Source organism: Homo sapiens, chromosome 13 (genome assembly GCF_000001405.40).
Source record: "Homo sapiens chromosome 13, GRCh38.p14 Primary Assembly".
NCBI classification, from domain to species: Eukaryota; Metazoa; Chordata; class Mammalia; order Primates; family Hominidae; genus Homo; species Homo sapiens.
In genome coordinates this window covers 112417837-112443036 of record NC_000013.11, presented here as the reverse complement: position 1 = coordinate 112443036, position 25200 = coordinate 112417837, and the positions used below count along the sequence as shown (strand labels likewise).

Here is a 25200-nt window from a genome sequence, read left to right as displayed (position 1 = left end):
CTAAAGCTTCGTATGCAGCCTCTTACCTAGGAAACGATGCAGCTGTTCAGTCTTTTGCAAGGAGCAAGCCTTTGGTCTAAGAAGCAGCTTCGGGGGTGGAGGAGGTGGTGCTGCTGGGAGACCCGCCCCGGGCACACGTGGAGGTGGGGCTCATGGGAGAGGTGGGGCCTGCAGAGACCCGTCCTGAGGTTTGTGCTCCCAGAGCTGCGCGGGGCAGCGTGGGAGTCACCAGTCACACAGATCGTTTACATTTAAACTCATCCAGATAAAATGAAGAGTTCAGTTCTGCAGTCGCACCTACTGGAAGTGCTCAGGAGCCCACCGTGGTCCCCGTGCAGGGAGGGACTGCAGGGCGGGCTTCTCCTCCTGCTGAGAAAGCTCCCGTGGGTGCAGCTCCCACCTAGGTTTGTAAATAAAGCTTCCTGGGACACAGCCAAGCCCGTGGTTCATGGATCCCCTCTGCTGGCTTTTTTTTTTTTTTTTTGAGATAGAGTCTTCCTCTGTCACCCAGGCTGGAGTGCAGTGGCGTGATCTCAGCTCATTGCAACCTCGGCCTCCCAGGCTCCAGTGGTTCTCCTGCCTCAGCCTCCCGAGTAGCTGGGATTACAGGTTCCCGCCACCACGCCTGGCTAATTTTTTTTTAAAAAATATTTTTAATAGAGACAGGGTTTCACCATGTTGGCCAGGCTGGTCTTGAACTCCTGGCCTCAGGTGAACCACCGCACCCGGCCTCTAGTGCTTTTGTGCTATAATCCGGAGGTTGAGTTGCCACAGGGACCAGAGAGCCTGTGAAGCCTCAAATGCTTTTCATCCCGCCCTTGATGGAGAATCTTTGCCGACCTCTGCCCTCAAGCACAGCTGTGAAATCCAGCTGGGTCTGCCTGCACGGCAGTGTGGCTGCATCACACCTGAGGCCCACTGTAGGTGGTTATGTGGGGCGCTGGGGTGCTGGCCTTGCCATGTTGTGAGTGGCAGGTCTGGGCTGTGCTACGGCAGTGCACACGGTAGGGCTTCTGTGCACAGCAGCAAAGGCGCCAGTCGTGGAGAGCACAACGGGTGGGGGGGTTCGGGCAGGGAGCGGCCTCGGCACAGATGACCTCAAGTGTGCCTGAACGTGCATGTTTCCCATGGGGTGTGTCCAGCCAGCGTGTGAGCAGCGTCTCCTTGGGCAGAGGTGCGTCAGGCCATGGGACTGCCTGGGACCATTTCCTTTGGCTGGGGCACAAGGAGACGGAGGACCATGCCAGAGCAGAAACCATCCCAATGCCCAAGGAAAAGGACCACAGGCTGTTTTCAGAGAGACCAGGAATAGCAGAGGCCTCCTGGCCCACGGTCCTCAGGGGAAAGAGGCCATGCTTTCCAATGGAAATCAGGTTCATCTCTGGAGAGCTGTGTCTAGAAAGCGCAGTTCACCAAACAGCATAAACTCCAGAAAAGGGAAACTCACACTTGGAATAAAGGTGAGGAGGGCGCCAAACATCGATAGCAGAAGTCCTTGGAGCCAAAGCCACGCAAGGACGCTGGCACTGGGGCGTGGGGCTTGGGCCTGCGCGGTTTTGGAAGGGTCTGTTCCAGCCGCCGAGGACTTGGGCTCAGCTGATTCAGCAGTGAAGACACAGGCAAGTTGGGGACGGGGGGGGTCGTGGCGGTCCGTCCCTCTTCTCTGTAGGAAAGCCGCAGACAGTGGCTGGATCCTCTATGGCTCTTGCTGTGTAGACACTACTCAAAAGTAGCATCTTCTGAAAGGTGGTGAAACTCCTGGAGTTGGTTTAACAGCAGACGGGCGTGTGCTTTTGTGAATAAACGAATGGGGGCCAGGCGCGGCGGCTCACACCTGTAACCCCAGCACTTTGGGAGGCCGAGGTGGGTGGATCACCTGAGGTCAGGAGTTTGAGACCAGCCTGGCCAACATGGGGAAACCTGGTCTCTACTAAAAATACAAAAATCAGCCGGGCGTGGTGATGCGTGCCTGTAATCCCAGCTACCTGGGAGGCTGAGGCAGGAGAATCGCTCTAACCTGGGAGGCGAAGGTTGCAGTGAGCCGAGATCGTGCCCCTGCACTCCAGCCTGGGTGACAGAGCAAGACTCCATCTCAAAAAAAAAAAAAAAAAAAAAGAATGGTGGAATGGTGTCCTGACACGTATTCAGTTAAAATCTCAGGGAGGGCAAGCAGATGCCCTGTCTGCAGTCATTTGTCTCTGAGCACGGCATCTCGACGCTCCCTGTAAGTGACTGTCTCAACTGTGCACTGTTCCAGGTTCTCCTGCTGCTTGTCTGTGGTCACTGCAGGGCTGGGGGAAGCTTTGGGTCCCTTGGCCTCTGAACTGTGGTTCTCAGAGGACCCAGGGTTGGAATCTGTTCATCTGGACACAGCTGTTGGCACATAGGGACAGAGGCAACCTCCTCTGGAATCAGAGTGAGGAACTGGGAGGATCTTGGGCAAAAGGCCAGCTGCACCACCGTGGGTCAGCACTTCGTCATGGTTTATGTTTTGGAAATCTAAGAGTCTGGGGTGTGGCTCTCAATCTTGTTCAGGCACCAGTTTACCCCAGATCACCAGAGGTGACCAGGCCCTGATGCAAGATGGGGAGAGAGGGTTTGTGAATTTAACAACAGACCAGCTGGTTGAGAAACTCAAACTGCAGAAGGAACTATACGTAGTTCACTAATAGGTGACTTACGCTATAAATGTGCAAGAGATGTTCCAGATAACATACAAGTGTAACTTGATTCTAGTGTGAAGTTCCAATTCCTCCTCATTGATAGAGCCCTTAGTCAGCAAATCTTTCTCTCTCTCTCTGTCTCTCTCTCTCTCTCTCTCACACACACACACACACACACACACTCACTGTGGATGTATCGAGTAGTGTCTTTCTGCAAAGCACTTTGTCAAGGTGGTTTGGGGACCAGCCTTGCCCTGGTCCTGACCCTGCTACCTGTGTTCTTCCATTACCCTGGTCTTGTTGTTCCTGGTGCACGTGCTCTTAGCCATTGATGATATTGGTGATAGAATGCAATTCTCAGAGCCCTCTCAGTCTGTCTGCAACAAATTAACATTCAATCCTAAAACTGTACAGAGTTTGGGAAGTGGCTGGGTGTTGCCGTTGGTGTTAGGCTCTTGGTTGGTCCTGCCCTGACTCACAGGAGGTGGCACGGCTGCCACCTCTAGTTTCTGGAGCCATCTCTGAGCTCCCTAATGTTGCAGTGCTCCCCACTGCTCACACACACCCCTTCCTCTGAGGTGGTTTTGATCTGTTCCCTCCCTGACCCCAAGTACAGAAGCTCTGTTTTTTCCTCTTTGTGGCAAAATCCTGTCTTCCTTGTAGATGTCAGGATGTAGCTGATTAACTCTGTTTCTAGATTAAAGATTCTAAAATGTGGTTCTGGGATAAGTAGCAGCCACATCCTCACTGAAAACAATGGGAAAACCTGGATAAAATGCAGATGTGTATATTGAAAAACTCCCAAAATGGGCAGAACTTGAGTGGTCAAGATTAAGAGAGAAGGAAATTTGTGGATGTGAGTTTTATATTCTGAGCTCATCACCCCCTTGAGGCATTTGCTAATTCTTATGCATCACAGACAGGTTGAGCAGCACAGCAGAAAGCAGTTGCTAGGAGGCTTTCAGTAATCTCCCAGGGCTGGGAAGAAAAAATGTGAGTTAAGGGCTTCTTACACAGCCAGGGCTTCAGGTGCTAAGATCCCAGAAAGAACGCCTGTTCAGTGTAGTGAGTCCAACTAGCCAATCTGCTTGTCCCCCTAAAGCATTCCCTAAGTCCTCAGCTGTGCTGCTGGGGAGAAGGTCAGCAGAAAGTGGTAGCAGAGAGGCTGAGGAGCTAAAGAGTTTTCAAGCAGTCTCCTAGTGTAAAAAATAAAAGTCGCATTTGAAGGGCCCTGGTAAATTCTCAGAGCTCTAAATTGGAATTCCCATAGGAACAAGGAAAACTAGAAATAGACCAGGTGTTACAAAGACAAATCTAGTATTAAAACAACTTAATTAAGATGATCTGTCCTCACTCTAACTGGCTACCAGAGCTAGATGTCTTTCAGAGTTTCTAGTTTTTCATCACACGATGTCCAGCATTCCATCAAAAAGTACCAATCATATCAATAATCCAGGCAATAGAAACAGACTTCTGGATAATACAGATATTGGAGTTATCAAATACAGATTAGGCATAACTATGATTAATATATCCATAAAACAGATGAGACAATGGTGAACATCACAGATAAGTGGAATCCATAGAACCAAATGGAAATTCCAGGATTAAAAGACGTAGTAATTAAAATTTAATTAATTATTTTAATTTTTAATTAATTAAAATAAAATATTAATTTAATATGATGATTAAATGATTATCCAAAGCTAAAGAGAGATTTAGTGGTCTGGATGTAGGTCAGGAGAAAATATTCAGATTGAAATAAAAGAGAACAAAGAATGAAAAATAAAAAGAGTATAAGAAAAGTGTGGGACAGAGCACAAACATCAAACATGCGTAATTGGAGGAGAGAAGAGAGAGAGAAAAAAGGCACAGAATATTTGAAAAGACAGAATTTTTCAGAACTTACTAAAGAAATAAGCCATGGGTTCAAATATCACCATAAACCCTAGACAGGATAAATGCAATGAAAACACAGCTAGGAACATCATTGTAAAAATGCTGAAATGAAAAGGCAAAGAGAAATGATTAACATTAGCTAGAGGTAGAAAGACACATTACTGTCCAAGGAGCAGTAATAACACAGAGAGTGACAGTAGATTCCCCAGGAGAAATGATGGAGGTCAAAAGACAATGGAAAAGAAAGTACCTGGTAATCTAGAGCCTACATCTAGTGAAAACATTCTTCAAAACATGAAGGTAAAGATATTTTCAGACGAATAAAAACTGAGGATTTTCCCAGTAGGGCTACACTAAAATACTAAAAGGAGTTAGTTGGCAGGAATGTACTGCTAGCCAGAAGCATTAAAAATGCACAACAGAATGAAGAACAAATAAAGGAGTAAATATGTGGATAAATCTGAAACAAATATTAACTGCATAGAACTAAGTATAATATTTTGAAGCATTTAAAATATATGTAGAATTAAAATCTGTGACAAAAATAATGCAAAAAATGGTAAGTGGAGTTAAGTATTCTTCTATTCTTGCATTATTAGGAAATGGTAAAAGTGCTAATTTTAGGTTATAGGAAGTCCAAGATGCATACTGTAGTAGTCTATAATATAACCTTTAAAATAATATTAAAAATACGTAATCCATGATCTAATAGAGGGGGAAATTGAATGAAAAAAAAACTTGCTCAATCTAAATAAAGTGAAAGAAGAGAAAAGGAAGTGGTAAAAGTATTAATTTTAGGTGATAGTAAGTCAAGGATATATATTGTTGTCTCTAATATAACCTTTAAAACAATATTAAAATACATAATGTTCTAATAGAGGGGAAAATGGAATTAAAAAAATACTTGCTTAATCCAAATAAAGTGAAAGAAGAAAAAAATGAGGCATGTGAGACAAATAGAAAATAAATAGTTGCTTCATAGATACAAACCCAGCTCTAGCACTGCTTATATTTCATGGAAAAGGATGAAATATTCCAATTAAAAGACAAAAGGACTGGATTTCTAAAAGTGTACTCCTATATATTACTATATATATATATATATATATAATATAACATTATAGGATGGAAAATGATATACCATGCAAACATTTACCAAGAGAAAGTTAGCGTGGCTATGTTAATATCAGACAAAATGAATATAAGGCAAGAAGAAATACTACAGATAAAGAGGAACATTTCATAACAATAGAGGCTTAAATCCACCAGAAAGACAATTTAGTCTGTAGGACCCTAGCAACATAGCTTTGAAACATACAAAACAAAATAGAACCAAAGAAATAAATGCCTTGCATTCACAGTGGGGATCTTTTACACCTCTTTTGATACTGGATGACCAAAGAGGAATGAGTAAGGAGATATTTTAACCACACAATTAACAAACTTGACCCGATTGACTCTGTGGGATCCCACCCCCCAAAACTGCAGAATACACCATCCTCCCAAGCTCCAAATGGAATTTTTACCAAAATTGGCTGTATGTTTGGCCCTAAATCAAGTCTCAAAAAATTTCAAAAAACTGAAATCATACAGCATACATTAATATGTTTCACCATTTTCTCCCACCCATAACATATAATAGGGGACCACTCTGGCCACAATTCCCACCCTCGGTGGCAGAGCCCCCCCGACACTCACCCACCCCTGCCCTGGCACCTTTGGGACACTTTCTTCCTGGAATGCCCATCCTAGTACATGTGGGGGTCACTTCTACCTCACAGGCACATCTTTAACACCCCTGTAAGCCAGTTCATCACTTGCCTTGGGGTAGCCAATATTAACATTGATGATTTTCCTCGTCAGCTTAGTTCCTGACTCTTGTCTTAAGCCTCCTGGGAACAGCAAGGGTGTGTCCCATACAGCAAGCAGGGCGTGCTTGAGCCTTGCACAGCAATCATCAATCTGGAGACCCAACGTGTTCCCGTGGCTGTTTTCAGTGCCATCCCTGAGAGAGGGAATATTTTGATGTGATCAAACTAATACATCAAACTTCCAGCTTTTGAAGACTGTGTAATCAGGGATCTCATGTGGTCAGGACAGAGGAGAGAGAGTGGTCAAATCAATGACACTTTATATGTTTTGTCTTCTCTGGGTCAGCATTGCTCTGCCAAGGTTTCCTGGGGGACAAACCCTGCAAGACCCTGCTTGGAAAACGATGATGCCATTGACGATTAAAACATCCAGCAGCAAAGGCCCGGCCTGGGGCACGGTGTCAGGGCTGCAACAGGCCACGTGACGGTGTGGCAGTGAGTGAGCCACTGAATACCTCTGAGCCCCAGGCCCACTCATGTGGAGTGGAGGCGATGCCTGCCTCCTGGCCTTGCTGTGAGGACTCGGTGGGCCACTGTGCATGGAAACAACTTATAAACCACAGAGTTCGCTAAAAATGCTTTGTGAGATCCATGCACAAGACAGAAAAATAAAAACTACAAGTGTACAAAGAAAGGAGAAGAACTACACGCAGCTGTCCCTGTATTCATAGAGAGGCTGCAGCATGGTTTAGTAGACACAGGTTAGCACCGGGCATCAGAAATAACTGCATCCTGCCTTGCCACTGACTTACTGAGTAACTAGTGAGTCATGTGTCCTTGCTGCCTCAGTTTCCTCATCTGGAATTGAGGGATTGCATGAAAGGCCTCAAAGGGTCATTCCAATACAAGCATTCTCTGATTCCAAACCCTCAGTCCTCTGCAGTTGCCTTGGAGACACCATAGAAAGAGGGCACAGGACGTTTGCATCTCTTAGGAAGAGAGCACAGCCAGCGGCTACAAGTACAATGGCATTGTCTGCTTCCGTTTCCAGCTGCCTTTGAAAATGGTGTTATTAATGGAAAGGACACCAATCCACTGCTAAACTGTGCAAAGGGCATGGAAGTCGTCTGTCCAGGATTGTTCTCAAACGCGATCCATGAGCTTCTCCAAGCCTGGCTGCCTTTCTAGAGAAATGGGAAAATCATATTTTGTCCTAAATCTTTCCAGATGGGTCACCTCAATGAATCCAGCAGAGGTTGCAGCCCCTCCACAGTCAGAATCAGTTTGGATAAGAAAAGTTGCCCAAGATGTGTCCTGGTCACCCCCAGCCCCTACCCCCAGGTAATGCTGTAGGTCACACACACCACCTGGAGCAAACCTTCACCTTCCATAACACACAGTCCCAGCCAGCATTCCCAAGCTTGGCAAACATTCCAATGCAATGAGGCTTCGTGTGTGCCCATGTGTTGTATGTGTGTGCGTGTTGCACGTGTGTTGCATGTATGCGTGTATTGTATGCACGTGGATTGTATGTGTGCACATGTTGCATGCGCATGTGTTGGATGTGCATGTACGCTGCATGTGTGTGCATGTTGCATGTGTGTTGCATGCACACACATGCATGTGCATGCGTGTTGTATGTGTGCATGTGTTGTACGTGCATGCATGTTGTGTATGCATGTGTTGTGTTTGTATGCATGCGTTATGTGTGTGCATGTGTTATATGTGTGCGTGTGTGTTTTGCAAGGCATGGCAGTAGGGAAGAGACTCTCAGGCCTTTGTAGTCTCTGTTCCTCATGGACGAGTTCTTTATGAGCTCTGAGATTATGTTATTTGTAGACAGAATATTCTGATGCTCTTATTTCCAGGTTTGATATGTTTTTTTGCTTCTTGATTTCTTCTTTTTTTTAAAAAAAACCCCAAATCCCACATACCCTTTGGCTTAACACTTAAATAAACCAACTCCAATTGGGATCGTGTGAATAAACGATTTTCCTTTATGTGGAATGGTTCAGAGAACGTGGGCGTGTGCACACAAGTGCCCTGTTCCGGAGGCTGGTGGGTGGGGGTTCTAGCAGGCTCCTCTCCTGCGCAGGGGGTCTGGGGCTGCGGCCTCACTGACTGCCTTGGCTCCTCCTCTGTGCGCTGGTCCTCTGCTGCTCTTTATGGAAAATGTTTCCTGTGTGGAAAGAGGAGATTTTGAGACTGGCAGTGTGTGGTATGAGGGAGATGGAGGCACTGGCAGGATCGAGGGACACCAGGGGACAGGAGGAACCAAGCCCTCAGTTGTGGAGGGAGGGGAGAGCCCTGCGGATGTGTCTGGGGCAGGAGGACCGGGAGGGGGGCACTGGCTGCGTCAGGCTGCCTTTGGCTCTCCCTGCGGGGCCACCCTGTCCAGTGTCATTTCCCCCGCGTTCTCCCTCAAAACCCATCGACAACTCCAAGCCTGGCGGAGCTGGACTGGTCCTCCTCCTCCTCCCCTCATGGCGGCCGGCTGTGGATCTCATTCCTGGGATGTCAGTACCAGGAGGTTGGGGACTCCTGGTTCTTCACTGTCCAACATTGCCAGGGCTCTGGAAGTCCCCACTGTCACCTCCAGGGCTTCTGTTGCCGACGGCCACACCTAGAGGTGCTGGTGACGTACAGGAGCTTCATCAGTGCAGAGGCCCCTGTCTTTTGCTGTTAGAGTTATAGGAGAATTTGTGGTTCTCCCTGCAGAACAGTCAGGTCCCAGGGAACTGGAATCTTGACAAGGTCAATCATGAAATTGTATCTAAAGCAGCAGAGGTTGTCCTGGACAGTGGCACAATCTGGGATATTGGCCGTAGCTTGAACGACCGCTCACTGCCCTTTCTACACCGCGTGTGTTGGCCTGGTCCCTGCTGCTGGGGGCACGAGCAGACCTTGTGGCCTGGGGTTTTGTGGTCCTGGGACTGACACTGGCCTGGCAAAGTCTGAACTTGGGGGGCTGGGGGCCCCACTTCAGAGAAGCTCTTGGCCTGTGCTCGATGACAACTCATGCAGCAGGGAGGTCGTCTCCAGCGACGTTTCCCGGGACCGTCCTCTTCGGCATTTTAACAAAGGACGAGCTGGCCGGCTTCCCACGCTTGTGGACAGTGAGGGGCTGGGAGCAGCAGCCAACAGGCTGGATGGAAAAGTCAGAACCCCAATGCTTTAAGAGGGGACAGGGAGGCCCACCTAACTGTTCTCTAGCAGGTAAGCTCCCAGGCAGGGCTCTCTGTTTTATGTAGAAACCCCAGAGCCTAGGACAGTGCCTGGCACGTGGTGGGTGCTTGGGAAGCACCAGTGGAGGTGAGTGAAGGTGACAGGGTCTCAATGTCTGGCTCTGTGCTCGGGCTATGAAAAGCCAGCCATGTGGCTCGGCAATGGCTCATTTGCCAAAGTCTTTGGAGTTCACAGACAGCAGCTCGGGATTCATGGTGTGACGCGCTCCAGATGGAGGGTCTCAGGCTGCGTGGACGGGCAAGTGCTGCAGGGTATGGGGGGAGGGGCTGGGCACACTGGGCTGCCATGTGACTCAGGGATACCGGGAGGACAAGAGGGCTGTCAGCCTCACCCAGGACTGGCTCCCAGGTGTTCTGGAAAGCTCCTAGGAGAAGCCTGGGGCCAGGGACAGAAGCCACAGGATCTGCATGGCCAACTCTTAGCAGGCGGACAGTGGTGAAGCTGTGTGAACAGGGAGTGGAGAAGGGCTGGACTGGGGGTCCCCACCCCACGAGAGGGTGGGGGGCCTCCTGAAGGGGATGTGGGGGCCCTTCCTGGGCCTGTCATGGGGGAGCAGGCTCCCGTCATCACGTGGTTGAGACCCTTGAGTAGGTGGGTGGTGGCAGCCTTGTGAGTCCTGATTATTCTTGGGAAAAGGGGGACTAGTCCCCTGTTCCATTCAGCTGAAAAGGGAGAGCACTCCTTCAATGACACGGGCCTTGACTCCTTGAATTGGACTTGTCTGGTCAGGTTTCCACACATCAACGGTTGGACAGGGGCTCCTGTGGAGCTCAGGTAGGTCCACCTGGGGGCTGGGCTCACCTGCTCTCCCTGGAGCTGCTCGGAGACACACCTGTCCCTTGAGCAGGAAAAGAATCCCCAAATGAGAAGACACTTATCTATTATTTCCAATCTACCTGAAGATCTTCCAATATTTTGAAGGATTTGGTCCAGAATGGATAGATTTTCATACTGAGTGTTCTTTGAATTCTTTTCTGTGGGGAAAACAATAAGTACAATGATCACTCTTTGTAAATAATTAAGGCATGATTCCACTTTTCCTTTAACTTCAGGGAGCCGTAAGCGCTGAGCAAAGCAGCACCCACGCACAGAGCAAGCGGGGTGAGGTGCTGCAGCTTCTCGAGACACAGCCTCAGGCGAGGCCATCAAAAACATTTCCTCCAGCAAGCCCCAGAAAGTGTGGCTTGGTGCCGAAGCAATGCGTGGAGTCCTACATCTTTGTGCTTTCTCTGTGTTTTCTCTTTACACTCTTAGGAGACACTAGCATAGAAGTATTCTGTCCACTCTGTGTCCTAAGGGCTCCCCACTGCTGGTGGTGAGCAGGGCTCCCTTCTGTGGATCTGACACTCATGGTCACTTGAGCCGTGGTCCTTGGACCCGGACACAGGTTTTACAGACACTGAATTTCCCCCACCTTTCTTCGTGGCCAGCCCTTTCTACCAATGACTATGCTGTGTGGTCCCCGCTGCTCAGGAAGAGGTGCAGGCAGTGTGAGTGGCTAATCAGTTCAGGAGTGGCTCCAAGTCCCCCCAAACCGGCCCCAGCTTCTGCAGCTGTTGGGTGGGAGGCTCCCTTTGGAACAGCCACCAGCCTGGGAGGCACATTTCCTAGTGGGGGGCACCCTACAGAGAACCCTAATCCTCTTCCTTTATTTACTTTTCTTACTCTCAAAGCACACCAGGAGGACCCACCTCTCTTTAGTTCTCCCAAAACTCCGTGCAGGTGCAACCTGGAATCCTTAAAAATACGGTTTGGTACATCTGCATTTTGTGAACGCATGAATAATGACTACTGTTGACTGGCCTGACCCCTCAGTCTCATTTCTTGGAAACAAGAATCCCTCATATATCTGCCGAGCACCTAGCAGGCTCAGCAGGTATTGCTGAGTAAATGAGTCTCTTGTTGACATTAATGTTATAGGAAATGAATAATTATGACATGAATTTATATATGTCCTATGGGATACTTAGATTTTACCAGGTCCCAAAGTCTTAAACTGAAGTTTAGGCACAGTCAGTATGTCAGGAATGATATTATGAACCATGAAACTTTTCTTACTCCCAGAAGTTACAGACTACATGGGGAAGTTGGGTTTTCTGGCAACAAGGAAGAGAGGATAGTTGCAGATCTATTTTCCTCTTAATCCGTTTTACATTAAGAGGAACGTGGATCTGCAAACATTCATTAAAGCCTGCAGGCATCCTTAAAGGCTGCTTCATGCTTTAAAAACATTTATCTAAATTATTCTTAGGTGCTCAGTTTATATGTTTAATAAGGACACAAGCCCATTGAACAATTTTTAAGTTTTAGGAAAGATGTTCAGTGAAACATCAGGCTGTTTCCGGTGGTTGGTCCTCACTACCAGTTTCCTCCTGGAGGCCACAACTGTGACCCAGTTTCCTGTGTATCTTTCCAGGGATAACCTACACCAGAGAGATTACTGCCAATTTCATACTCAAAATGATTTCACACAGAGTTTTTTTAGAGAAGATTCCTTAGAAAATTTTGGCAGATAATTCAGGTTAGCTATTTGTGGAAACATATGTAATTCATCATTTAATACAAAACATTTTATCTTTAGTTTGCTTATTTGTAATCTCTAGCCCTTGGGAGTCCCAGGGAAGAGTATATGATGCTAACATTTCCCCGTTCCCTATGTATGTGTGGTTTCATTCGACTATAGGGCACCTGGTGAAACCCGTGGGTAATACTTAGTCTTCATGCGTAGATGAGGCCCCAGTGAGGCAAAGCACCTTCCTAAGGGCACTGAGGCTGTATGCGGCTGAGCTGGGAGAACCCAGGGGCCATCACCCCAGTCCTTGCTTTTCCTTCCAGAGTTGAAATGCAGAGCTTTTCACAGTTCCAGGATTCTCAATGGAACCACATGGGTAAAAATCTAGTATTTGAATTTTTAATGTCTGGAAAGGATGGAGTAACAAGGATTAGATTTATCCTCCCAATTTAATTAAAAAACAAGAAAAAATACATGAAACAGTGCTTTCCCATATATCGGAGAATAATCAGCAAAGAGCAGTGATCCCCTGAGAGATGGAAAGCAGCTGAATGCAGCCCTATGCTTGCTTCAGGCACTGCCTGGAGAGTTTCCAGGGCAGCATTAGGAGTGAGAACTTACGCAGAGCCCAGTGATCTCAATATACTGAGGGGTTTGGAGAAGTCACAGTAGCTAGAGTTCAAAGGACAGAGTGAGACACACACACACACACACACACACACACACACACAGAGAGAGAGATGCAAGGGATGCCTTGAGCCTTCAGCTGATTACTGGCCAATGAATGGCTGTAAGAAAACTACTCAAGGATGGAAAAAGGACCACACAACTGAACAGGCAGAACAATTTCCAGAGCTCACACAGGCCAGAAATAAGTGGGGTTCCTGTCAGAAAACATTTTAAAAAACCCTCATAATACACAGGAAATTGAGTACACAGAATTACATTGCTTCAGTAGTGGGGAATAGTAGACTTAGAATAAATGCTGCTTGGTCCCATTTAATATAGCATAAAAGCAAGCCTCAAAAGGACCAAACTGCTTTAAAGTAACTTAACTGGGTAAAAGAACAGGCTCAATAATAGTTTTAAAAATACAAGACTATCTAACACATAATGAAGTAAGATTCACAATGTCTGGCATTCAAACAAAAATGACCAGGTATGTGAATAAGCAATAAAATATCATCTACAATGAGAAGAAAAATTAATCAAAATTGACCCAGAAATGACATGAGAGTAGAATTAGAAAGCAAAAGTATTAAAAATGTTTTTATAAAACTGTATACCATATGTTCAAGAAGCATAGAATGTCAGATTAGATAAAAAAGCAAGAGCCAACCATACGCTGTCTATAAGAAACCCCCCTAAAGACACAAATGGGTTAAAAGTAAAATGATAGACAAAGATAAGACATGCTAATACCAATCAAAAGAAAGGTAAAATAGTTACTTAAATCTCAAAGTATATTTAGGGGCAAATAATATTACTAGGAATAAAAGAGTCATTTCTTTCTTTCTTTTTTTTTTTTTTGAGATGGGGTCTTACTTTGTTACCCAGGCTGGAGTGCAGTGGCACCATCTTGGCTCACTGCAGTCATGACCTCCTGGGCTAAAGCCATCCTCCTGCCTCAGCCTCCTGAGTAGCTGAAACTACAAGTGTGTGTCACAACACCAAGCCAATATTTTATTTTTTGTAGAGATGAGGTCTTGCTATGTTGCCCAGGCTGGTCTTGAACTCCTGGGCTCAAGTGATCCTGTTGCCTCAGACTCCCAGTGTTAGGATTACAGGCACAAGCCACTGCACCTGGCCAAGAGTCTTGTTGCAGGGATAACTCACCAAGAAAACATAACAATCCTACAGGTTTATTCACCAAATAAGAGAGCTTCAAAGTACATGAAGGAAACACTGCTAGAACTAAAAGGAGTAATGAACACATCCACAATTATGGTTTGAGATTTCAACAGTGCTTTCTCCATAATCAACTGAACAAGTAGATTGAAATTTAATAAGGATATAGAAGAGTTGAACAAGTCTACTTAGCATACTTGATCTAATTGACATTTATAGAACAGTCCACCTCTTAACAGTATAATACACATACTTTTCAGGAACACTTGGAATATTTGCTAAAGCACACTATATTCTGGGCTATATTTAAAGTTTTAAAATTCATTTAACAATAATCATGCCATATAACATATATTTTCTCACCAAAATAAAATTAAATTATAAATCAATAAAATTATGGTATCTGGAAAAAACCTCCAAATATCTGAAACTAAATAGCACACTTCTTTTTTTTGTTTTTGTTTTTGTTTTATTTTTTGAGATAGAGTCTCGCTTTGTCACCCAGACCGGAGTGCAGTGGCATGATCTTGGCTCACTGTGACTTCTGCTGCCTGGGGTCAAGTGATTCTCCTGCCTCAGCCTCCCATGTAGCTGGGATTACTGGTGCCCACCACCAAGCCCAGCTAATTTTTGTATTTTTAGAAGAGATGGGGTTTCATCATTTTGGCCAGGCTGGTCTCAAACTCCTGACCTCAAGTAATCCATCTGCCTTGGCCTCCCAAAGTGCTGGGATTACAGGTGTGAGCCACCATGCCCAGCCTAAATAGCACACTTCTAAACAACCTATGGATCAAAGAAGAAATTTAAAAGGTGAATGATAAAGTATTTTGAACTGGATGAAAATAAAAACACAACATATTGGAATTTATGGGATGAGATAAAAGTGATACTTAGAGGAAATCACTAAACATTTCTATTAGAAAACATGAGAAGTCTCAAACCCATGATCTAAGTATTCACATCAAAAAGTTAGAAAAAAGGGGAAATAAAATTTACAATAAGCAGAGGAAAGAAAATAATGTTAAGAGAAGAAATCACTATAATTAAAAACAAAATAGAGGAAAATGAAACAAAAAACCTGGTTCTCTGAGCAGATCAATAAAATGGATGAACCTCAAATCAGACTGATAGGATTTTTAGAAAGATACAAATTACTAGAGAATTGCTATCACTACAGTTCCTGCAGACACTGAAAATGAATAAAAAAAAACTATTGTGAAAAACTTTTGCCAATAACTTTGCCAACTTAGGTGAAATGAGAAAGTTCCCATAAGGACCCAAATTATCAAAGCTTATTAAAGAAGAAATAAATACACAAAATAGCTCTCTATCTATTAAATAAATTAAGATTGTAGTTAAAACCCTTCCATAAAGAAAATATAGGCCCAGATGTCTTCACTGATAAATGCTATCAAACATTTTGGGTAGAAATAATATTCATTTCATATGAATGTATCTAGAAAATTCAAGAAGAGAGACTACTTCCCAACCCATTTCTATGAAACCATTATTACCTTAAAACCAAAGCTAGAGAAAAGCATTAAAAACCCAACAAACCACAGACCAATGTCCCCCAGGGATACAGATGCAAAAATTCTGAATTAAATTTCAGCAAATTAAATCCAACAATATAATGACCAAGTGGGTCAAAAATCAATCACATGTGATTCTCCTCATCAACAGAATAAAGTAAAACCAAGTGACCATCCCAACAGATGCAGGGCTGCAAGCTGCGGCTAATGGTCAACTGTGGACGCACCTGCTTTAGTGAATAAAGCTGCCTTGGACACAGCCATGCTCATTCTTTCATACACTGTTCACGTTGCTTTTGTGTTCCCGTGGCAGGCTCGAGGAACAGAGCCCACATTGCCCTCAAAGACTGAAAGATTTACTGTCTGACTTTGTACAAAAAATATTTGCTATGCTCAGAATAGATTCAGAAAAAACTTTTCTCAGAATTCAAACTCCATTTATGAACAAAACTCTCAGCAAACTAGGAATGGAAGGCAACTTCTTCAACCCAACAAAAGGAATGTATAAAAAATCCCTGCAGCTAACATCATCCTTCCTAGCAAATGACCAAATGCTTTCACTCTTATGAAAGAATGTCTGTGCTTATGACTCCTATTCAACATTCAACATTGCACTGGAGATCCTAACTAGTGATACAGGGCAAGAAAAAGAAACAAAAGACATATATGTTGGAAAGGAAGAACAAACGATTCCCAGGTGATATGATCCTCTACGTAGAAAATCCAAAAGAATCTACAAAAATGCTACTGGAACTAAAGAGTGAGTTTAGTAAGGTTATGGGTTATAAAGTCAATATACAAAAGCAATAATATTTCTATGTATACTAAAAATGAATAACTGGATATTGAATTTGAAAAAGTGCCATTTATAATAATATCAGTAACTACTAAACACTTATGTATAAACCTAATAAAATATATGCCAGATCTTTATGCTAAAAACTACGAAAAGTGAAAGAAAGCAAAGATCTAAATAAGTGGAGTTGCTCATAGGTAGGAAGACTGGAAATTGTTAAGATGGCAGATCTTACCAAATTGATCTATAGATTTGTAGCAATCCAAATTAAAATCCTAGCAGAATTTTTTGTAGACATTAATAAGCTGTTTCTTAAATTTATACAGAAAGATAAAGGCACTAGAATAGCCAGATTGATTTTGAAAATCAAGAACAAAGTTGGAAAATTCAAACCTGTGATCAACATACAGTAACCAAGACAATGAAGTGGGCAATGAGGAAGAACAGGTCTTACATCAACAAAACAAAATAAAAAGTCCAGAAACAGACTTGCACATATATGATGAACTGATTTTCGACAAATATGCTAAGGCAACTCAAGAGAGAAAGTTGAATTTTTTAGCAAATGATGTTGGAACAATTGGACATGAATATGCAAAAATCCAAACCAAAACAAATCAAACCAAAACAACAATAACCTCACACCATATATGCAAATTAACTCAATACAAGCATTTAATGCTATACATTTCCATTTAAGTACTTTGTATGGCAGCCCTAGGGAACCAGTAGTGACTAAACATATGAACACAGTGACATGTGCCTGCATGGGGCTACTGTTTGTTAAGGATACAATGCTGAAATCAAATCAGTTCCCTGGGGATCCCAGACCTGGCAGATGGAACTCTGGTGCTGTCCACTCTAGGACCCGTGATGTGGGCCCAGCCTCCAGTGCCATGGAGGGTGGGGAGGCAGAGGGTGCTTTGCATCTCCCAGACCTCAGAGATTTGCAGAGACAATGTGTCCCCCAGAGCTGCACCATCCTTTTCTTTAGCTCTCAACCAGGGCACAAAAAAATCATGTTACGCTGTGAGAGCTTCTCTCTCTCTCTCACACATCTTCTTTGTCTCCCTGTCTCTCTCTCTCTGTCTCTCTCTGTCTTCTCTCTCTCTGCCTCCACTCTTGGTGAAAACAAAACGGTTTCATACTTACACTCTGTCTTTATTCTGTTCTTCTTTTTCAAATGTTGGTGCCAATCGAATAAATGGACTTTATGGCCCATCCTGGGTGGCCTCGCGCTGCCTGAAAACTGGGAGCAGAGTCAGGGCACTCCCAACCTTGGCTCCAGCGGCCGGGCCGAGCTGAGGGGAAGCCATCCCATTTCCTAACTACCAGGGAGAAGGCATGTTTCCTTCCAGTTGTATCGGCTTCATGGTCCATCTTTTCTGTTTCAGACAATTTATCCTTGTCATGTGCCATCAGTAAACATGGAGAAATGGTTTTCCCCATCTTTTCTTCAACTTTTTTTTCAACTCATGCCCTCTGACTCACATCTGTTTCTATTGCAATGTTCTCCTGGCCTATGTCACCCTGCAGGGGAGCCTGTGCGCACCCTTGGATCCGGGCGCCCACGCCACTGTGGCACATGGCTGTCCTGTCAGGTTGCATCTGAGTTGTTGGTAAGGTCACTAGGACTTTGTGGGATCCTCCATGTTAATGAATCCAAGGGGTTTTTCCTTTACATTCTCACAGAAGCATCTTCTCCAGTCCTCTGCTCAAATAAGGGTCAAGGTTTCACATTCTCCTCAGTGTCTATGCATTCATTCATTCATTCAACAAACACCTACTCAAGGCAAGGTGCTAGGGTCGGCATGGAGGGTGCACTCTCTCATTCAGGAAGCCTTGTTCCCATGGGGGGATATGGATGTACCGAGAAATACCTGCAGCCCAGAGCAGCAGGTACTGAGACAGCATGAACAGACAGCTCTCAGCCCAGGAGACCATGCCACCGGCCCTGCCTCTTGTGTTCCTGTCATCTTAGGAGCTGAGCTAAATCAGGAGCTGCCTGGACACTTCCATTTGGCTTTTGGTAAAAATTAAAAGGCATAACTCAGGCTGGAGGAGGAGGTGAGAGGAAGCAAAGCAATAATTGGCAGTAGAGGGTCCCAGAGGAGGCACTTTGTAAGATTCAGACTCCATTTCTTTAACCCTGTGCCATGGAAGCAGGGTTCGAATTTCAGGATGGATTTTTCTTTTAATGAAAAGCACCAAGCCCCCCAACACAATGCCATTGTCTATATGTGAAGTTCTGTCATTCTGTTCTCATCAGAGAAACAGCTCATTCGAGTAGATCATCCAGATCCTCCCTGGCCCGGGCCAGCTCTCATTCCTGACGCATCCTGAAGTCCACAGACTCCTGCAGGGAAGCCGTAACTGGGGAAGAAGCAGAAGCTCCACTTCAGTGTGATGAGAAGGCTAAACGCAGAATTGAAATGACGGCAGTGACAGGGGAATCTTCATGCTCCCAACGCAGCATCACCACGGATGCACCTAGGTTCTTTGGAGTGCAGCAGAGATGCTGGTGGAGACAGGGAAGAGCAGTGCTGGTCACATGCGGTGCCTTCGGGCGGGTAGGGGCTGCTCCGCTTCACCCAGGGGGGTCCTTGTTCGGATTCACCCCGTATTTATCAGGCTTTTGTTCACCCCTGCCTCCTGCATCTTGCTTCTCCTGCCTCAAATGCTTCATGACGTTTTCTTTAAAACGAAGTTCTCTCAATGTGAAACGCTTGGCCTTTTCCAGCAAAGTCTATTTTGCTCTCACTGGCAGATACTTCAGCTGGGTATGGAATTCTACATTGATAGCCATGCTTTTAAAAAAATCGTTTGAAGATATGATTTGCTGTCTTTTGACTTCTATTGTTTTCTGTGGAAATAACCGTTTACAGTCTAATCGTTCTGTTTTAGAAATCTTAACTTGTTTCAGGTTGATTGCCAGATCGTCTCTTGGATTTTGGAGTTCTGCAGCTCTACAAGTGATATGTCTAATTTCATTTCTATTTCTCTTCCTTTAGAACATACTGTGATTCCTGAATCTGAGGATTATGTTCTTCACTGATATGGGGATAGCCTTGATAATCATTCCTTCAAACACTGCCCCTTGCTCACTCTCCATTCCCTCCTGTGGGATGTTGGTTCTTACCTTTTATGTTTCCTGGTCTCTGGTTTTATAGCTCTTTATGCCTCAGGTTCACCTTCCAATTTACTTTTTTTTCAATTATGACAGATCTGCTGTTCCACTCATCACTTCATCTTGAATTTTAATGACTTTTTTGTTTCTGTTTCTCCTAGTTCTTTTTTGGTATTGGACAACTTTGCCTGTTTTTCACAGTGTCTTGATATTTTCTGTTCTCAATTCCATTTCTATGCCATGAATAATTTTAAGCATGTTTATTTTAGCATAAGCATTTAATGCTATAAATTTCCATTTGAGCACTGCTTCAGTTGCATCCCACAACTTTTGACATGTTGTGTTTTCCTTTTCATTTAATTAACCCTTTCCCATTTGCCCCGAGAATACTTGCCAATGGTACTTGTGGCAGCAGCATTTACCCCAAGATACCTTTACCATGAAATATCTCACTTTTAATTTTTGAATCGCTTGAGTATATCGACTTTGGAAACAAAAGCCATCATTCTATTTATAGCATTCTGTTTTTAGTAGAGGTATTTTTATTTACAAAATATAGTAATTCTCAGTTGCTGAAAATGTAAAATCCTAGAAAATGTAGCATTCCTATATGTAATGTTAACATTGTTCTTGAACAGTTGCTGGCCAAAGATTTGTTCAATGAATCTGATTTTTCTGAAATAGACAATTCTGATGATTCAGAAAATTCTGATGTTAGTTCTGCTTAACTCCAAGAACACTTTTTCTATTTTATTTTCACACTGAAAATCAGTCAGATTTGCTTCTGCCTTAAAGAGCATGTTTATGTAAAAAGCAAATGAGCACTGGCAGTGAGACGCACTTCATTTTTCTAAATGGGAAAAGGGTTAAACATTTTTGAATTTCCCTTGTGACTTCTTTGCGCATTGGGTTATTGAGAAGTGTGTTGCATAATTTGCAAATATTTGGAGGATTTCCCCACATCATTTTCTATTATTGATTTCTGGTTTATTTCTGTTGTGTGCAGATAACATGCTTTGCATGATTTTAATTATTTTAGACTTGTTGAAGTTTGTTTTGTGGTCAAAAAGATGGTGGATGTTGGTGAATGTTCCAAGAGCATTTGTAAAGATATGCATTCTTCTGTTGCTGGGTGGATTGTGTTCTATAAAAGGTCAATTTGAGTAATTTGGCTAAAAATGTTGTTTTGGCCTTTTATGTCCTTATTCTGTCTATTTCTTTTATCAATTACTGAAAAAGAGTGCTAAAGTTTCCAAATGTAACTATAGATTTGTCTGCTTTTACTTTCATTTCTATCAAGGTTGGCTTCATACTTGTTTTGAAGCTCTGTGGTGGATAGTGCATAGATATTTGAGTTTATTGTGTGTCTTCCTAAGAAACTGACCCTTCTAAAATGATCTAGTTTTCCTTTTATCTTTGATAATGTTGTTTTGAAGTCAACTTTGTCTGATAGTAACATAGCCACTTCAATTTTCTTCTTTCTTCTTTTTTTTCTAAAGTTTTCTAGAAAAACATTTATTTTTCTCCAAGTTTTAAAGTGTGTCACCAGGTTTGTTGTACAGATTATTTCATCATCCAGCAATTAAGCCTAGTCCCTATTAGTTATTTTTCCTCATCCTCTCCCTCCTCCCATTCTCCACTCTCAAGTAGGCCCCAGTGACTTTTGTTCCCCTCTATGTGTCCATGTGTTCTCATCATTTAGCTTCCACTTATAAGTCAGAACATGCGGTATTTGGTTTTCTGTTCCAGTGTTAGTTTGCTAAAAATTATAGCCTCCAGCTCCATCCATGTCCCTGCAAAGGACATAATTTCATTCTTTTTAATGGCTGTATAGTATTCCATGGTGTATATGCACCACATTTTCTTTATCCAGTCTCTCAATGATTGGCATTTAGGGTGATTTCATGTCTTTATTATTGTGAGTAGTGCTGCAATGAACAGACACATGCATGTGTCTTTATAATAGAATGATTTATATTCCTATATTTATATTTGGCCCTTGGCCTATAGTTTGACAACCCCTGGTGTAAAACATTTAGACTTAAGGTAATTATTGATGTTTTTGGATTAAAAACTGCCAACTTGCTAGCTGTTTTCTATTTGCCTTGTCTGTTCTTTATTTCTTTTTCCCCTTGTCTTCTTTGAATTAATTGGGTATTTTTAAATATTCATTTTACTTCCTCTATTGATTTGTTATTCACACCTTAAATATTTTTAGTGTTGGATCTAGGCTTTACAAATATGTATCTCTAACTTATTGCAGTCTAACTTTAAATAGTAATTTATCACCTCATGTAAAGTGTGAGAACCTTTAAATGGCATACCTCCAGTTGCCCTCCTTTTTGCTTTGTTGACATACTTTTTTTTTTTTTTTTTTGCATGTTTCTTTCTTTCTTTTCCCTTTGGAGATTCAATTGTATTTCAAGTGATCTCAACTAACAGTACCAAAATGTCTTTCATATTTACTTCATTTTTACTATTTCTGGTACTTTTTATTTCTTTGTACAATCCACATTTTGGCCTGGAGAATGCCATTTAACATTTCTAACTTTGCAGATCTGCTAACGATGTGTTATCTTTGTCTGAAATAATCCTTATTTTTGTCTTCATATGTAAAAGATATTTTCTCTGAGAATAGAATTCTGGGATGGCAATTTTTTCTTTCAGTCATTTAAAGATGTCATTCCACTGTCCTCTAGATTATATAGTTTCTGATATGAAGTTTGCTGTAATTCCTATCTTGGTTTTTTTCTATGTAAAGTGTTTCTTTTCTCCCTTCTAGCTGCCTTCAATATACCCTCTTTTTAAAATTTCAACTTAAATATGATATGCCTACAGTGTGTGTGTGTCTCTGTGTTTAAACGTATCCTGCTTGGTGTTCTCTGAGATACTTGGATCGGTAGTTTGATAACTTTTATTACTTTTGGGCATTTTCAGCCATGATTTCTCCCTCTATATTGCTCTCTCTCGTCTCTTTATCTTTCTGTGATTTCAATGATATGTATGTGAGGAAATGAGGTATTTACCCATAACTCTTTGGTAATATGGTGTTTTTTCATTCTTTTTTTTCCCTTTATGTTTCAGTTTTTATTTCTATTGACCTATTTTCAAGATAGCTAACTTTGTTTCCTAGCTGTGCACTGTCTACTGATGAGCTCTTGGAAGAAATTCTTAATTTAAGAAATTATGTATTTTATTTCTAGTATTTCCATTTGACTCTTCTTATAATTTCCATATCTCTCCTGAAATTCCTCATCTTTTAATACATATTTTCCACTAGATTATTTAACATAGTAATCATAGTTATCATTGTCTGATAGTTCCAACATCTGGGACATCTCTGTGTCTGGTTCTGTTGTTTATTACTTTATAATGGGTATTTTTCTTGCTTCCTTTTGTGTATTGTAATTTTTTATTGAATGTCAGACATCATGTATGAAGCACAGTAGAGATTGACGTAAACTGTATTATGCCTTAAAATGGGCACACCTCTTCTTTCGTCATGCCATTAGCATGGGGGTTGAGCCAGTTTTGTCAGAGGTAGGTCTGGCTTGGAATCAGTTGTGGCTATTGACATCTTCAATGCACCGAAGAATCAAAGTCCTCCAGAAGTGTGCTGCTGTTGCCTTGTGTTCACAGTATGAGCTAGGGGGCCAGAGACTTTCGTAGTGTTTCTATTTCCCTTTAGCCTTCAGCCTTCCCTGAACACCTGCACGGCAGAGCGGGTTTCTTTCTCAGTTCTTCCCTTCCCTCAGGGGATATACTCCCTTCACTGGTTACTCCCTGCTAGGCCTGTGATGGGCAGGGGATTTCTCACTTGTCCTTATCCAGCCTCACTCTCAGGCAATCTGTGTTGTTTGATCAGCACCCATGTCACTTCTCTCAGTAGCCAAACTTTGCCTTTTACAGTGGTTGGTCTTGGGTGGTATTTCTTGTCTCTTCCTGTGGTAACAGCTCTCTGTTAGTAATGGTGAAGGATCCTGGCCCCAAGGTAGTTTAACATCTTTCTTCTAGAGGCAGAAAAGTTTTGCTTTTACTCCTATCCCCAGAAGTCATAGATCTTTGCTTGTGCTTTGGGAATAAGAGGCTTTGCTGCCCCTCCGCAAGAGGCTTTTATAGCTTCAGAGCTACTGAGAAAGTGGGAGGGGTCACCTGTCTGTCCCCAGCTGTGGGTGATCATTCCCTACATGCCTCTGTGGCCCTGCTGTGCCCCAGTCCTTCCTGTGAGCATCTTACAGAGACCTATGGAGAAGACCTTGTGAGTGCAAGCCCCCTTGTGCCTGGGGCCTCTGGATTTTTCAAATGCATATTATATCCCACACTTGGCTATTAAAAAATTCAGTGGTTACTTCTTACCCACTTGTATGGTGGTGACCTGTTTTCCTCCTGCTTGGCCAAAAATGAGAAAGCTCATGTGTTCCAGCTCTGTTTGGTAGGCTTGCCTCTTTTTTGAATTCTGCCTACTTTACCCTGCTACTGGAATGTTCTTATGGGCTCAAGGAAAGCCATGGTTTTGTAGATGATCCCACTTTTTATTATTAGGGTGAGAGTAGCGTAGCATTGTTTTTTGTTTTTTTTTTTAAATGGAGTCTCACTCTTGTCTCCCAGGCTGGAGTGCAGTGCATGATCTCAGTTCACTGCAACCTCTGCCTCCTGGGTTCAAGTGATTCTCCTGCCTCAGCCTCCCAAGTAGCTGGAATTACAGGCACCCACCACTGCACCTGGCTAGACAGTAACATTTTTTTTACAGCATTCTAAGTGGAGGTAGAGAACCTGAAACGTACTTATGTCAAATGCTCTATCAGATTGTTCAATTATCTGAAATTCTTGAAGTCTAGTAATGCTATTATTTTGCCTGCTGCTTATTATCCATGGCATATTGCTTCCCATAAGTTTGTGTTTTGAATTATAAGCTCACCTTTGGCAGAGCTATTGTCTGTGAAAATCCTGTGTAGCCCAAATTAAGGGAATCATTCTTTACATCAAGTTTGTATTTGCTTCTGCCAAGTGCCCTCTGACCCAAAGTGTCACCAGATGAGACTTCCTATCATGCTGGTTTCACAGATTAGCTATTCCAGAATACACAGAACTTGAAGTCCCCATGTGGTACAGGCTTACACAGACATATTTCCATTTTCCTGTGCTGGTAGATGGTTTTTTATCTACACTATCCTTTTACTGAGGGTGTAGTCTTGTTAGCAGTCGTAGCATTATTCAGGGATTTCATTTGCAACACTTTTCTTCCCTAGGCCTCATCTTCTGAAAATAAACTCTAACAGCCAAATTTCTATGTTTCATAAGGGAAAATTACAGTTGAGGATTGTTCTGCAATTAGATCTGTAACTTACTGCTCTGGATTTTAATTCTCTCTTGGTTTTCTAGCCCTGAAGATTTCCTTTACTTTGCTGCAGATCATAATAGACATTTAAAAATGTTTATTATATTTTATCTAGAATTTCTAAAGATTTTCAACTTATATAGTTTTCAACGTTGGCAAACACAAATAAGTAAATTGAATCTTCTAAGTCCTTTGATTTGATTTCCATGTGACTAAGGACTATGGCAGCTGCCTAGGCCTGTGTCTCCCAATATTTCCTCAAAAAATGACACAGAAAAACAGGAAAGAAAAATAAGATTACACAAAACTATACACTCAGGCATAACCTAACTATAAAATACTCAAATATCAAAATAACAGTAAGTAAAAAATAAATAATAAAAATTTAAAAGTTATAGTGAAGAATCTCTGTTCCTGCCCTACATTCA

General features: G+C 42.9%; 1 protein-coding gene and 1 long non-coding RNA gene across 12 annotated transcripts in view; one reads left to right on the top strand and one right to left on the bottom strand.

Annotated features, from left to right (window-relative positions):
* LOC105370372 (uncharacterized) overlaps nucleotides 1-25200 on the top strand; it is a 97399-nt gene that overhangs the window by 33100 nt on the left and 39099 nt on the right. The window lies entirely within an intron of this gene.
* Nucleotides 8348-25200, bottom strand: part of SPACA7 (sperm acrosome associated 7) — a 58335-nt gene continuing 41482 nt past the window's right edge. For all 9 annotated transcript variants that reach the window (XM_011537468.3, XM_017020392.2, XM_011537471.3 and 6 more), the window contains 2 exons: nucleotides 10516-10593; nucleotides 8348-8552 (listed from right to left, as the gene is read on the bottom strand). In XM_011537468.3, coding sequence (XP_011535770.1) covers nucleotides 8488-8552; nucleotides 10516-10593 — 143 coding nt within the window. In that variant the 3' untranslated portion in view covers nucleotides 8348-8487. The remainder of the gene's footprint in view (nucleotides 8553-10515; nucleotides 10594-25200) is intronic.